Raw genomic sequence first — 15,565 nt, 5'->3', positions numbered from 1 at the left:
GCCATGTATTTTCTGCTAGACAGAAAGGGATGTCATCTATCTTGTCATCTGTTGGTTGACAAGTCCTCTTACAATGCCTACCATTTTGTGACAACTGAACAGTTTATTGCTTCTGTTGTTGTTGAAGGTTTTGAAATCCACCATGAAGCAAGAACTGGAGGCAGCACAGAAAAAGCATTCTCTTTGTGAATTGCTCCGCATACCCAACATATGTAAAAGAATCTGTTTCCTGTCCTTTGTGAGGTAAGTTTCATGCAGTGTGTGAGGAATGTTAAAATAGAGGAGACATAAATCCATTTCTTATTTCAAATGATACAACATGTTGAAGGAAAATATTTGGGGGATAAAAGATGATAAATCCATAAAGAGAATTGCTATTTTTAAAAGTGGTAAAAGGGTTATGAAAAGGCTGACACAGAATTAATTACACAATTTCTGTTTATAACATCATTCTACCAGGCTCATCAGTGGAGACTTATGCTAAGAACTTCAATTATAGTATAGGTTTAGACTCAAAGTTTCTTCATTTGTTTCCATTTTAATTGAGCTAATTTATAAACAGCAAATCATATGAATGTACACAGATCAATGAATATTACCAGTTATTAATATCTAGCTACCACTCAGATCAAGGTATAGAAAAAATTCTAAAACACTGGGAAATGATCACAAGTTCAGCAAGATGACGTAACAGAAAATCCTACCCCTCAACCGCACACAGAAACACTGATTAAATAATGACTGGACAAAAATACTTCTATGAGAATTTCAAAACTGAGACAAGACATTGTAATGCCCCAGATGAGCACGAAACCAAAAACAGTTGCACTGAAATGGGCAAGAAGAGTAATGTCAGTTTATACATGACAACCCCTTCCCAAAGTTGTTACAGCTCATGCCAAGAGAGGACACCCTGGCCTATGACTTTTCCCTCACAGGGAAGGAAAGAGTAGAGCATTCAGCCACACCTTGGCCTTTGGACACACTGTGTGAGGAACTGGTCTCTGTCTCCCCTCACTCAGAGCACTGATGGAACTGGCATATTTGGATGCCTAAGGTCACTGAGGACAAAGTGAGTACAAAAGAAAGCTGTGACTCACACAGCTCAGTGCAATGAAAAGAATATGCACAACTTGAGATTTCTCCCTCAGGAGGGAAAGGAGCTCAGTATGTGTCTGATATACTGATTTTCCAGGGAGCTGCCCAAGAAATTAGTTTTTTTCTAGCCCAACCATTATGCCAGTAGGACCCCACACGCACTCTAGATGCCTCAGAACTACTGAGAACAAAGACAGCTGGGTGTTAAGCTGCTACATCAGAGGACTCATGGTATGGCAGACAGATACCACAGAAAGCAAGAGATTGCCAGTTCCTGAAAAACAGAAACCAGGAAATCCCTCTAATTAGGAATCTACATGCACAAATACAGAGAAGATACTTTCACAGAGTAGAATTGAAGGTCCCCAGAATCTCTATCTGGGCTGATTGTAAAAGCCAGTCTGGGAAGACAGGAAGAGGTGGCTATTTCTTCAAATGTATAGATACCAATGCAAAGCTACAAAGAACACGAAGAAACAGAGAAATATGACACAAAAGGGAACAAAATAAATCTTAAGAAACTGATCATAAAGAAATGGAGAGATATAGACCAGGCACAGTGGCTCATGCCTGTAATTCCAGCATTTTGAGAGCCTGAGGCAGGCGGATCACCTGAGGTCAGGAGTTCAAGACCAGCCTGGCCAAACATGGTGAAACCCATCTCTACTAAAATTACAAAAATTAGCCGGGCATCATGGCCCTGTAATCCCAGCTACTCAGGAGGCTGAAGCACCAGAATTGCTTCAACCCACGAAGTGGAGGTTGCAGTGAGCCAAGATTGCACCACTGCACTCCAGCCTGGGTGACAGAGCAAAACCCCATTTCAAAAAAAAAAAAATTACAGACTTAAATGTAAGACCTAAAACTATGATAATACTAGAAGAAAGCATTGAGGAAATCCTTTAGGACATTGCTATTAGCAAAGTTTTCTTGAGTAAAAAGTCAAAAGCACAGGCAAACAAAGCAAAAAAAATGACAAATGGAATTACATCAAGCTAAAAATCTTCTGCACAACAAAGGAAAACAATCAACAAAGTGGAGAAACAACCTACAGAATAGAAAAAAAATTGCAAACTATTCAACCGACAAGGGATTAATAAATCAAACCTATAAGGAACATAAACAACTCAGTAGCAAAAAAACAAATAAGCTTATTTTTAAATGGGCAAGATACCTGAATAGACATTTCTTAAAATAAGATATACAAATGACCAACAAGTATAAAAAATGCTCAATACAGTTAATCACCAGAAAAAATGTAAATTAAAACCACAATAAGATATTATTTCACCCCAGTTAAAATATTATCAAAAAGACAAAAAAAAAAATGCTGGGGAAGATGCATATAGAGGGGGATGTTTGCACACTGTTGGTGGGAATATAAATCAGTACAGCCACTATGCAAAACAATATAAAATTTTGTGAAAAGATTAAAAATGGAAATACCATATTATCCAGCAGTCTCACTTTTGGATATATATGCAAAGGTAGAAAATCAGCATATTGAAGAGATATCTGCACTTCTATGTTTTTTGCAGCAGTATTCCCAAAAGCCAAGATATGGTATCAACCTAAATGTTTATCAATGGCTGTATAAAGAAAATGGGGTATATTGGCAGGGCGTGGTGGCCCACACCTGTAATCCCAGAATTTTGGGAGGCCAAGGTGGATGGATTGCTTGAGTCCAGAAGTTCAGATCAGCCTGAGTAACATGGCAAAACCCTGACTCTGCAAAAAAAAAAATAAATAAAAATACAAAAAATTAGCCAGGCATGGTGGCACATATGTGTAGTCCCAGTTACTCTGGAGGCTGAGATGGGAGGATAGCTTGAGCCCAAGGAGGTGGAGTGTCACTTTTAAGACAGAGTGAGACCCTGTCAAAAAAAAAGAAAATGGGATATACATTATATATATATATTATATATATACATTATATATATTATATATATACATTATATATATATACACATTATATATATACATTATATATATGTATTTGGATATATATATAATCGGATATGTAGAGAGAAATAGATATAATGGAATATTATTCAGCCATAAAAATAATACATTCCTGTCATTTACAACAACATGGATGGAATTGGAGGACATTATTTTAAGTTAAATTATCCAGGCACCAAAAGACAAATATTGCATGTTCTCACTCATATGTGAGAGCTAAAAAATTTATCTCCTGGTGGTAATAAGTGAAATGGTGGCTACCAGAAGCTGGGAAGGGTACTGGGGAAAGGGTATTAAGAAGGATGAGCTAATGGGTACAAAAATACAGTTATATAGAAAAAATAAGATCTAGTTTTCAGTAAAACAATAGTTATAGTTGACTATAGGTGACTTTAGTTAACAATAAAGTTATTGTATATTTCAAAATAGCCAGAAGAGTATATTTAAAATGTTCTCGACACACACACACACACACACACACACACACACACTCAAATGATGAATGTGTGAGATAATGGATATCCCAATTACCCAGGTTTTATCATTATATACTGTATGAATATATCAAAATATCACAGTGCCTCATAAATATGTATAATTATCATGTATCCATAAACATTAAAAATTTAAAAAATTCACATCTAGACATTTTATAATAAAATTATCAAAAGAAAAGAATTTTGAAAGCAGCAAGAGAAGTGACTTGTCTTGTACTAAGAGAACCTCCATAAGACTTTGGTTTGTTTTCCCACAGAAAGTTTACAGGCCAACAGAAAGTATGATGATATATTTAGAGATGAAAACTGCCAACAAAAAGTATTATATCCAGCAAACTGGCCTTCAAAAATGAAGAGAAATAAAGAGTTTCCCAGACAAACAAAAACTGAGTGAATCTGTCAACACTAGATCTGCATTATAAGAAATGTTAAAGGGAACCCTTCATGTTTAAACAAAGAACCCTAATGAGCAACACGAGAGCATATTAAAGTATAAGGCTTACTGGTAAAGGAAACTATGAGAAGTCCAGAGCTAACATCATACTCGATGAAAAACTGAAAGCTCTTCCTTTAACATCAAGAATGAGTCACCACTTCTATTTAATATAGTACTTAAAGTGCTAACCAGAGCAGTTAGGGAAGAAAAACAGATTAAAAGCATCTAAATAGGAAAGGTAGAAGTAAACTAAGCTCTACTCACTGGTTATATGATCTTAGAGGTAAAAATCCTAAAGATTACACACACAAAAATTTTAGAGCTAATAAACAAATGCAATCTAGTTGAAGGATACAAAATGCACTTAAAAATCAGTTGTGTTTTTATACACTAACAACAAACTATCCAAAAATGAGATTAAGAAGCAATCTCATTTATAATACCATAAAAAGGAAGAAAATACTTAGGAATAAACTTAACCAAGGAGGCAAAAGACTTGTACACTGAAAACTACAAAACATTGATGAAATAAACAAAACAAAGATGAATGAAAAGATATATGCATGAATGGCAAAGCTTTATATTATTAAATGTTCATGCTACTCAAAGTAATCTGAAGATTCAGTGCAATCCCTATCAAAATCTCAGCGGCATTATTTTACAGAAATAGAAAAAAATCCTAAAATCCTATGGGAACCATACAAATTTTAGAATAGATAAAACTACCTTGAGAAAGAAGAACAATGCTAAAGGCCACAACCACCTGATTTCAAAACATATTGCAAAGCAACAGTAGTTTAAAACACTATGGTACTTGCATAAAGATGGACATTTAGACCAATGGAACAGAATGGAGAATGCAGAAATCAATCCATGCATATACAGTCAACTGATCTTTGTGGGGGTGACAAAGATACACAATAGAAAAAGATAGTTTCTTCAGCAAATGGTGCTAAGCAACTACATATCCACATATATGTGCCATAAGGAAAGGATTCAATTTCATTTTACTGTGCTATCAGGAAAGGGTTATGTGCTATAAGGAAAGGGTTTCACTTTATTAAAATGTGTATATATATATATACACACCCAATTTTCTTTATTAAATGAAATTGAACCCTTTCCTTATAGCACACACAAAAATCAACTGAAAATGGATTCAAGACTTAACATGAGACCTGAAACTATCAAAATCCTAGAAGAAAACATAGGTGAAAAGCTTCATGACATTAGTTTTGGCAATTATTTCATGGATATGATGCCAAAAGCACAAACGATGAAAGGAAAAATATACAAATAGGACATCAAACTAGAAAGCTTCTGCACAGCAAAGGAAATAATAGAATGAAAAGGCAGCCTTCAGAATGAGGGAAAATATTTGCCAACCACATATCTGATATGAGTTAATATCCAAAATATATTAGGAAAACCTACAACTCACTACCATGAATGCAAGTAGTCCAATCACAAAATAAGCAAAGGACTTGACTAGACATTTTTCCAAAGAAGCCATACAAATGGCCAATGGAAAATGTGCTCAAAATCACTAGTCAGGAACATGCAAGTCAAAACTACAATCAGATATTACTTCAAATCTGTTAGGACATTATCATAAATAAATTGAATAAATAAATAAGAGATAATAACTGTTGGCAAGAATGTGGAAAAATTGGAACCATTGTACACTGTTAGTGAAAATGTAAATAGTATAGCCCCTATGGAAAGCAGTAGGACTACCATATGATTCACCAATCCTACTTCTAGGATCTCAGTTTTTCAAAGAAACAATTGAAATCAGGATTGGGAAGAGATATTTGCACTCCCATGTTCATTGCAACATTATTCATAATTGCCAAGATGTAGAAGCAACTTAAATGTCCATTGACATATGGATAAGTAAAATGTGGTACGTACTCATGATGGAATATTAGTCAGCCATGGAAAGAAAAATGTCATATCCAACATGTTTGAAACTTGAGGACATTATGCTAAGTTAAATATGCCAGGACAGAAGGACAAACACCGCCAATTCCCCTTATATGAGATATCTAAAATAATCAAATTTATAGAAGCAGAAAGTAGAATCATAGTTTCCTGGGGCAGAGGGCAGAGGGAAATAGGAAGTTCCCATTTAATGGGCATAAAGTGTCAGTTACGCAAGATGCTGTGCAACATTATGCATACAGTTAAGAATATTTTACTGTACACTTAAAAATTTGTTAACAGGGCAGAACTCGTGTTATGCATTTTTACCACAGTTTTAAAAAGTAAATAGGTGTTTTGAGAGTTCCCAGCTAAACTGGGATTTCAGTATCTGAGTGACTGGCAAGCCTGCCCTAAGGGAAAAAGAAGAGGAACTAGACGTGGGTGATTTCAGTGCCTTTCACAGGATACGTGTTTTACCTGGTGGACAGCTAGTGCCTAGTTGTCCAAACCATAACTAGGAAGGTTTGGACAACTAGGTAGTCACACAGGAAAATAGCTTAGACTGGCATATGCCATTGTGGTTCTTATCTGATCTATGTGCAATTTATGCCTGCCTGACCATTGCTCTGCCACTGGGAGCCCAATCTTGTGTTCTCATTGCTATCCTAGAGAAAATCCAACCTTGATAGACTAGATTAAGAAAATGTGGCACATATACACCATGGAATACTATGCAGCCATAAAAAAGGATGAGTTCATGTCCTTTGCAGGGACATGGATGAAGCTGGAAACCATCTCATTCTCAGCAAACTCACAAGATCAGAAAACCAAACACCGTGTGTTCTCACTGATAAGTGGGAGTTGAACAATGAGAACACATGGACACAGGGAGGCGAACATCACACACCAGGGCCTGTCAGGGGGTGGTGGGTTAGGGGAGGGATAACATTAGGAGAAATACCTAATGTAGGTGATGAGTTGATGGGTGCAGCAAACCACCATGGCACTTGTATACCTATGTAACAAAAAGGCACGTTCTGCACATGTATCCCAGAACTTAAAATGTAATAAAAAAAAAAAAAAAGAAAAGAAAATCCAACCTTGAATAGCTAGCCCCTAGTTCTTCCAATGGAAAGCATAAATTCAATGCACTGAACAAAAGGAAACAAGTTCAAGGATGTCTACTTACAGATCCTGGGTAAGGATCACCAGATCACATGATGCAGAAATAAAGAATCATGCACAGAGAGAGAAATGTACATGGCAGTGAGCAGTATACATAAGGAAGTAGGTTGTGGGTCACTTAGAGCTTCCAGGCAAATGCCTGAATTGTACACTTACAAGAAGCACTGGGAAAGTCACAAACCCAATCTGCTAGGCAGGAGAGATGGCTCCAAGTTTTTCTCTCTGGCCATTTGGGAGTGGCATAGAAATGGAAACTGTGTCAAGGGTGACTGAGCCCTGCCTCTGGTATAAGAAAGTTAAACTTGAATTCAAAATGGATGCTGACATAACATAAAATTATAAGTATTCACTACAATGAGATACAAATGTATGTTGAATATATAATTAAAGTTTATTGACTGCCTCTTTTTTAAAATTATACTTTAAGTTCTGGGATACATGTGCAGAACATACAGGTTTGTTACATTGGTATACATGTGCCATGGTGGTTTTCTGCACCCATCAACCCATTATCTAGGTTTTAAACCATGTATGCATTAGGTATTTGTCCCAATGCTCTCCCACCCCTTGCCCCCCACCCCCAACAGGCCCCAGTGTGTGATGTCTCCCTCCCTGTGTCCATGTGTTCCCATTGTTCAGTTCCCACTTATGAGTGAAAACCTGTGTTGTTTGCTTTACTGATCCTGTGTTAGTTTGCTGAGAATGATGGTTTCCAGCTTCATCCATGTCCCTGTTAGGGACAGGAACTCATCTTTTTTTATGGCTGCATAGTATTCCATGCTGTATATGTGCCACATTTTCTTTATCCAGTCTATCATTGATGGGCATTTGGGTTGGTTCCAAGTCTATGCTATTGTGAATAGTGCTGCAGTAAACATACATGTGCATGTGTCCTTATAGTAGAATGATTTCTAATCCTTTGAATAATATACCCAGTAATTGGATTGCTGGGTCCAATGGTATTTCTTTTTCTAAATCCATGATGAATCAACACACTGTCTTCCACATGGTTGAACTAATTTACACTCCCACCAACAGTGTAAAATTGTTTCTATTTCTCCACATCCTCTTCAGCATCTGTTGTTTCCTAACTTTTTAAGGATCACATTAGGCTATCCACCAGGTTAAAAAAAAAAAAAAAAAAAGGTATCCTGTGAAAGGCACTGAAAACACCCACACCTAGCTCCTCTTCAAACTGGCATGAGATGGTATCTCGATGTGGTTTCGATTTGCATTTGTCTGATGACCAGTGATGATGAGCTTTTTTTCATATGTTTGTTGGCCACATAAATGTCTTATTTTGAGAAGTGTCTGTTCACATCATTTGCCCACTTTTTGATGGGATTTTTTTCTTGTAAATTTGATTAGTTCCTTGTAGATTCCAGATATTAGAACTTTGTCAGATGTATAGATGGCAAAAATTTATCCCATTCTGTAGGTTGCCTGTTCACTCTGATGATAGTTTCTTTTGCTGTGCAGAAGCTCTTTAGTTTAATTAGATCCCAGTTGTCAATTTTGGCTTTTGTTGCAATTGCTTTTGGTGTTTTAGTCCTGAAGTCTTTGCCTGTGCCTATGTCCCAAATGGTATTGCCTAAGTTGTCTTCTAGGGGTTTTATGGTTTTAGGTATTATATTTAAGTCTTTTATCCATCTTGAGTTAATTTTTGTATAAGGTGTAAGGAAGGGGTCCAGTTTCAGTTTTCTGCATATGGCTAGCCAGTTTTCCCAGCACCATTTATTAAATAGGATATCCTTTCCCCATTGCTCATTTGTGTCAGGTTTGTCAAAGACGAGATGGTAGTAGATGTGTGGTGTTATTTCTGTTCGCTCCATTGGTCTATGTATCTGATTTGGTGCCAGTACCATGCAGTTTTGATTACTTTAGCCTTGTAGTATATTTGAAGTCAGGCAGTATGATGCCTCCAGCTTTGTTCTTTTTGCTTAGCATTGTCTTGGCTATACAAGCTTTTTTAAAATCCATGTGAAATTTAAAGTAGTTTTTTCTAGTTCTGCAAAAAAAGTCAATGTTAGCTTGAGGAATAGCATTGAATCTATAAATTGCTTTGGGCAATATGGCCATTTTCATGATATTGATTCTTTCTATCCATGAGCATGGAATGTTTTTCCATTTGTTTGTGTCCTCTCTTATTTCCTTGTGCAGTGGTTTGTAGTTCTCCTTGAAGAGCTCCTTCACGTCCCTTGTAAGTTGTATTCTTAGGTATTTTATTTTCTTTGTAGCAATTGTGAATGGGAGTTCATTCATGATTTGGCTCTCTGTTTGTCTATTGTTGATGAATAGGAATGCTTGTGATTTTTGCACATTGATTTTGTATTCTGAGACTTTGCTGAAGTTGCTTATCAGCTTAAGGAGTTTTGGGGCTGAGATGATGGGGTTTTCTAAATATACAATCATGTCATCTGCAGAGACAATTTGACTTCTTCTCTTCCTATTTGAATACCCTTCATTTCCTTCTCTTGCCTGGTTACCGTGGCCAGAACTTCCAATACTATGTTGAATAGGAGTGGTGAGAGAGGGCATTCTTGTCTTGTGCCAGTTTTCAAAGGGAACGCTTCCAGCTTTTGCCCATTCTGTATGATATTGGCTATGGGTTTGTCATAAATAGCTCTTATTATTTTGAGATATGTTCCATCTATACCTAGTTTATTGAGTAGTTTACCATGAAGGGTGTTGAATTTGATTGAAGGTCTTTTCTGCATCTATTGAGATAATCGTGTGGCTATTGTCATTGATTCTGTTTACGTGATGGATTATATTTATTGATTTTTCTATGTTGGACCAGCCTTGCATCCCAGGGATAAAGCCTACTTAATCGTGGTGGATAAGCTTTTGATGTGCTGCTGGATTCAGTTTGCCAGTATTGTGCTGAGGATTTTTGCATTGATGTTCATCAGGGATATTGGCCTGAAATTTTCTTTTCTGGTTGTGTCTCTGCCAGGTTTTGGTATCAGGATAATGCTGGCCTCATAAAATATGTTAGGGAGGAGTCCCTCTTTTTCTATTATTTGAAGAATTTTCAGAAGGAATTGTTCCAACTCCTCTTTGCACCTCTGGGAGAATTCAGGTGTGAATCCATCTGGTCCTGGGCTTTTTGAGTTGGTAGGCTATTATTTACTGCCTCAATTTCAGAACTTGTTATTGGTCTATTCAGGGATTCAACTTCTTCCTGGTTTAGTCTTGGGAGGGTGTATATGTCCAGGAATTTATCCATTTCTTCTGGATTTTTAGTTTATTTGTGTGAGGTGTTTATAGTATTCTCTGACGGTAGTTTGTATTTCTGTGGGGTTAGCGGTGATATCCCCTATATCATTTTTTATTGTGTCTATTTTATTCTTCTCTCTTTTCTTCTTTATTAGTCTTGCTAGCAGTCTATTTATTTTGTTGATCTTTTCAGTAAACTGGTTCCTGGATTCATTGATTTTTATGAGTGGTTTTGTGTCTCTGTCTCCTTCTGTTCTGCTCTCATCTTAGTTATTTCTTGTCTTTGCCTAGCTTTTCTTCAATTTGTTCACTCTTACTTCTCTAGTTATTTTAATTGTGATGTTAGGGTATCGATTTTAGATCTTTCTCGCTTTCTGATGTGGGCACTTAGTGCTGTAAAATCCCTCTTAATACTGCTTTTGCTGTGTCCCAGAGATTCTCATACATTTTGTCTTTGTTCTCATTCGTTTCAAATAACTTCTTTATTTCTGTCTTTACTTCATTATTTACCCAGTAGTCATTCAGGAGCAGGTTGTTCAGTTTCCACGTAGTTGAGTGGTTTTGAATGAGTTTCTTAATCCTGAGTTCTAATTTGATTGCACTGTGGTCTGAGAGACTTGTTTGTTATGATTTCTGTTCTTTTGCACTTGCTGAGGAGTGTTTTACTTCCAATTATGTGATCAATTTTAGAATAAGTGCGATGTGGTGCTGAGAAGAATGTATATTCTGTTGATTTGGGGTAGAGAGTTCTGTAGATGTCTATTAGAGATCCACTTGGTCCAGAGTTGAGTTCAAGTCCTGAATATCCTTGTTGATTTTCTGTCTAGTTGATCTAATATTGACAGTGGGATGTTAAAGTCTCCTACTATTATTGCGTAGGAATCTAAGCCTCTTTGTAGGTCTCTAATAACTTGCTTTATGAATCTGGGTGCTCCTGTGTTGTGTGTGTATATATTTAGGATAGTTAGCTCTTCTTGTTGCATTGATTCCTTTATCATTATGTAATGCCCTTCTTTGTCTTCTTTGATTTCTGTTGGCTTAAACTCTGTTTTATCAGAGAATAGGATTGCAATCCCTGCTTTTTTTTCTTTCTCTTTGCTTGGTAAATATTTCTTTATCCCTTTATTTTGAACCTATGTGTGTCTTTGCACATGAGATAGGTCTCCTGAATACAGCACACCAGTGGGTCTTGACTCTATGCAATTTGCCAGTCTGTGTCTTTTAATTGGGGCATTTAGCCCATTTACATTTAAGGTTAACATTGTTATGTTTAATTTGATCCTGTCATCATGATGTTAGCTGCTTAGTTTGCACATTAGTTGATGCAGTTTCTACATAGCATCATTGGTCTTTATATTTTGGTATGTTTTTGCAGTGGTTGGTACCAGTATTTCCTTCCCATATTTAGTGCTTCCTTCAGGAGCTCTTGTAAGGCAGGCCTGCTGGTGACAAAATCCCTCAGCATTTACTTGTCTGGAAAGAATTTTATTTCTCCTTTGCTTATGAAGCTTAGTTTGGCTGTATATGAAATTCTGGGTTGAAAATTCTTTTATTTTAAGAATGTTGAATATTGGCATTCACTCTCTTCTGGATTGTAGGGTTTTTGCAGAGAGATCCACTGTTAGTCTGATGGACTTTCCTTTGTAGGTAACCTGACCTTCCTCTGTGGCTGCCCTTAACATTTTTTTCCTTCATTTCAATCTTGAAGACTCTGACAATCATGTGTCTTGGTGTTGCTCTTCTCAAGGAGTATCTAAGTGGTGTTCTCTGTATATCCTGAAATTGTATGTTGGCCTGTCTTGCTAGGTTGGGGAAGTTCTCCTGTATAATGTCCTGACATGTGATTTCCAACTTGCTTTTATTCTCCCTGTCACTTTCAGGTACACCAATCCATCATAGATTTGGTCTTTTCACAGAGTCCCATATTTCTTGGAGGCTTGGTTTGTTCCTTTTATTCTTTTTTCTCTAGTCTTTCCTTCACACTTTATTTCATTTAATTGACCTTCAATCTCTCATATCCTTTTTTCCACTTGATTGATTCAGCTATTGATACTTGTGTATGCTTCACAAAGTTCTCGTGCTGTGTTTTTCAGCTCCATCAGGTCATTTATGTTCTTCTCTAAACTGGTTAACTAGTTAGCAGTTCCTGCAACCTTCTATTAAGGTTCTTAACTTCCTTGCATTGGGTTAGAACATGCTTCTTTAGCTCAGGGGAGTTTGTTATTACCCACCTTCTAAAGCCTACTTCTGTCAATTTGTCAAACTCATTCTCCATCCAGTTTAATGCCCTCCCTGGAGAGAAATGTCATCATTTGGAGGAGAAGACGCATTCGGTTTTTTGGAATTTTCAGCATTTTTGCACTGGTTTTTCCTCATCTTTATGGATTTATCTACCTTTGATCTTTGATGCTGATGGCCTTTGGATGGGGTTTTTGTGGGGGCATCCTTTTTGTTGATGTTGATGTTACTTCTCTCTGTTTGTAAGTTTTCTTTCTAACAGTCAGGTCCCTCTTCTGCAGGTCTGCTGGAGTTTGCTGGAGGTCCACTCCAGATCCTGTTTGCTTGGGTATCACCAGCGGAGGTTGCAGAACAGCAAAGATTCCTGCCTGCTCCTTCCTCTGGAAGCTTCATTTTAGAGGAGCACCTGCCTGATGCCAGCCAGAGCTCTCCTGTATGAAGTGTCTGTTGACCCCTGCTGGGAAGTGTCTCCCAGTCAGGAGGCACAGGTGTTAGTGACCCACTTAAGGAGGCAGTCTATCCCTTAGCAGAGCTCAAGCACTGTGCTGAGAGATCCACTGCTCTCTTCAGAGCTGGCAAGCAAGAATGTTTAAGTCCACTGAAGCTGCACCCACAGCCACCCCTTCCCCAAAGTGCTCTGTCCCAGGTGATGGGAGTTTTATCTATAAGCCCTTGACTGGGGCTGCTGCCTTTCTCTCAGAGATGCCCTGCCCAGTGAGGAGGAATCTAGAGAGGCAGTCTGGCCACAGTTGCTTTGCAGCACTGCAGTAAGTTCCACACAGTTTGAACTTCCCAATGGCTTCCTTAACACTGTGAGGGGAAAACTGCCTACACAAGCCTCAGTAATGGTGGACATTCCTCTCCCACCAAGGTTGATCATCCCAGTTCGACCTCAGACTGATGTGCTGGCAGTGAGAATTTCAAGCCAGTGGTTCTTAGCTTGCTGGGCTCCATGGGAGTGGGACCTGCTGAGCGAGACCACTTGGCTTTCTGGCATCAGCCCCTTCTCCAGGAGAGTGAATGGTTCTGTCTCACTGAGGTTCCAGGTCCCACTGGGGGAAAAAAAAAAAACTCCTGCAGCTAGCTCAGTGTCTCCCCAAACAGCCACCTAGTTTTGCACTTGAAACCCAGGGCCCTGGTAGCATTGGCACACAAGGGAATCTCCTGGTCTGCGTGTTGCAAAAACTATGGGAAAAGCATAATTTCTGGGCTGGATAGCACAGTCCCTATGGCTTCCTTGGGTAGGTGAGGAAGTTCCCTGGCCCTTTGGACTTCCTGGGTGAGGTGATGCCCCACCCTGCTTCAGCTTACCCTCCGTGGGCTGCACCCACCCGCTGTCTAACCAGTCCCAGTGAGATGAACCGGGTACCTCAGTTGGAAATGCAGAAATCACTCACCTTCCGCATTGCTCTCGCTGGGAGCTGCAGACCAGAGCTCTTCCTATTCGGCCATCTTGCCAGCTGTCTCTATCGACTACCTCTTATTCCAAAAAATAAAACCATAATGAAGTTAGACACCATTAAATATACATAATATAAAAATAGGTTTTCTTATTCTAATCTAGATTTGCTACACAAGACCATCTACAGAATGAATGCCATGAATATACAATCTGTACCCAATAAGTTGTACATTTTAGTAAACATTCCTGATTGTAAGGGTGGCAAATGGAAATTTTGGCTTCTTAGATCTTTACTGTGAGTTTGACTGACATCAGTACATTTTTATTTTTAATTGTATATTTTCATTACTGTGAATTTTTTTGCAGTGATTTTTGATGCCATGTGGCTACATTGGTTTTAGAATACTAATAAAATCCATTGCTTTTAAAATAAATAAATAAACCCCATAGCACATCCTCCATACAACATCTGTTGTCCCTCAAGATACAATTGTTACCACTATCATCTAACCATTATTTTATGATAACTTTAAAATATCAACTTGCAAGAAAATATTCCACAAAACACACTCTGCCTTTTTACTTTAAAGAGTCCTTGGCTACCTGGGCCAATATTATTCTCATTTGTAGGATTTAGGTTCCACAGATTATAATATGTGCCTTTTTCTGTGTTCCCTGCAGATTTGCAAGTACCATCCCTTTTTGGGGCCTTACTTTGCACCTCCAGCATCTGGGAAACAATGTTTTCCTGTTGCAGACTCTCTTTGGTGCAGTCACCCTCCTGGCCAATTGTGTTGCACCTTGGGCACTGAATCACATGAGCCGTCGACTAAGCCAGATGCTTCTCATGTTCCTACTGGCAACCTGCCTTCTGGCCATCATATTTGTGCCTCAAGGTGAGAAAAGTTCACAGGTGGAAGAAAGAAAATGTCTTTCCCTCTTTTCTCAGGGATTGCCCTGGTCACACCTATCTGAAGCCAGAAGGAAAGGGAGAATTGAGTTCTCAGGATTCCCTGATAGAAATCTGGGGCTTTAGGACAGATTTTGCCACACGGAAGTTGCTGGGAAATGAGTCAAAGATGAGTAAGATTGGCTCGGATATATGGTTGTCTTCAGCACATTTGAGAAGTAGTAAGAAGTTGGTGCCATTTATTCCTGATAGTTTCTCTAGGACAGCAATTGATCACTTGCCCTTTGGCCAATCAAACTCTTAGTAAGTGTTGAGGTGCTGGGCCTTTGTATCCCAATATGAGAACACAATACTGCTATTTCCTCTGTCTGGGCTCTTTCTTACCACTACAGCTTCTGTGACAAAGTACTCCCTAATCACTACATATCCACTGTGTGCCTTGTATTAGGTCACCATAACTGCAATCCTGGTTTAGGGGAGTCATCTTGACTTCAAAGAAACAAAAGTCCCGTATCTTTATGTACAGAAATGTCCAGTAGGAAGGAGACAATTGTCAATTAAGACCTTCTCTTAGAATCTTAGAATTCATAAATTAAATGATCACAAGCAATAAATAAGGGAACCCAAGTTGTCATCAGGCTTCACCTCACTCCCGGTCTAGTAATGTACTTAAGAGAATACCAGGTTGGTGT

At 38.2% G+C, this 15,565-nt stretch overlaps 1 protein-coding gene across 4 annotated transcripts in view; it reads left to right on the top strand.

The window, feature by feature from the left end:
• The window catches only part of SLC22A25 (solute carrier family 22 member 25), an 85,163-nt gene that overhangs the window by 62,697 nt on the left and 6,901 nt on the right, over positions 1-15,565 (top strand). For 2 of the 4 annotated variants that reach the window (NM_001394059.1, NM_001394058.1), the window contains exons 9-10: positions 128-243; positions 12,843-14,410. In NM_001394059.1, the coding sequence (NP_001380988.1) occupies positions 128-243; positions 12,843-12,975 (249 nt within the window). In that variant the 3' untranslated portion in view covers positions 12,976-14,410. Of the gene's footprint in view, positions 1-127; positions 244-12,842; positions 14,411-14,644; positions 14,860-15,565 lie in introns of those variants that run through there. The other 2 variants (XM_047426917.1, NM_199352.6) reach the window with 2 other exon arrangements.

The sequence above is a fragment of the Homo sapiens genome, chromosome 11, assembly GCF_000001405.40.
Source record: "Homo sapiens chromosome 11, GRCh38.p14 Primary Assembly".
In the NCBI taxonomy this organism is placed as follows: domain Eukaryota; kingdom Metazoa; phylum Chordata; class Mammalia; order Primates; family Hominidae; genus Homo; species Homo sapiens.
This window is presented reverse-complemented; position numbering and strand designations above follow the sequence as displayed.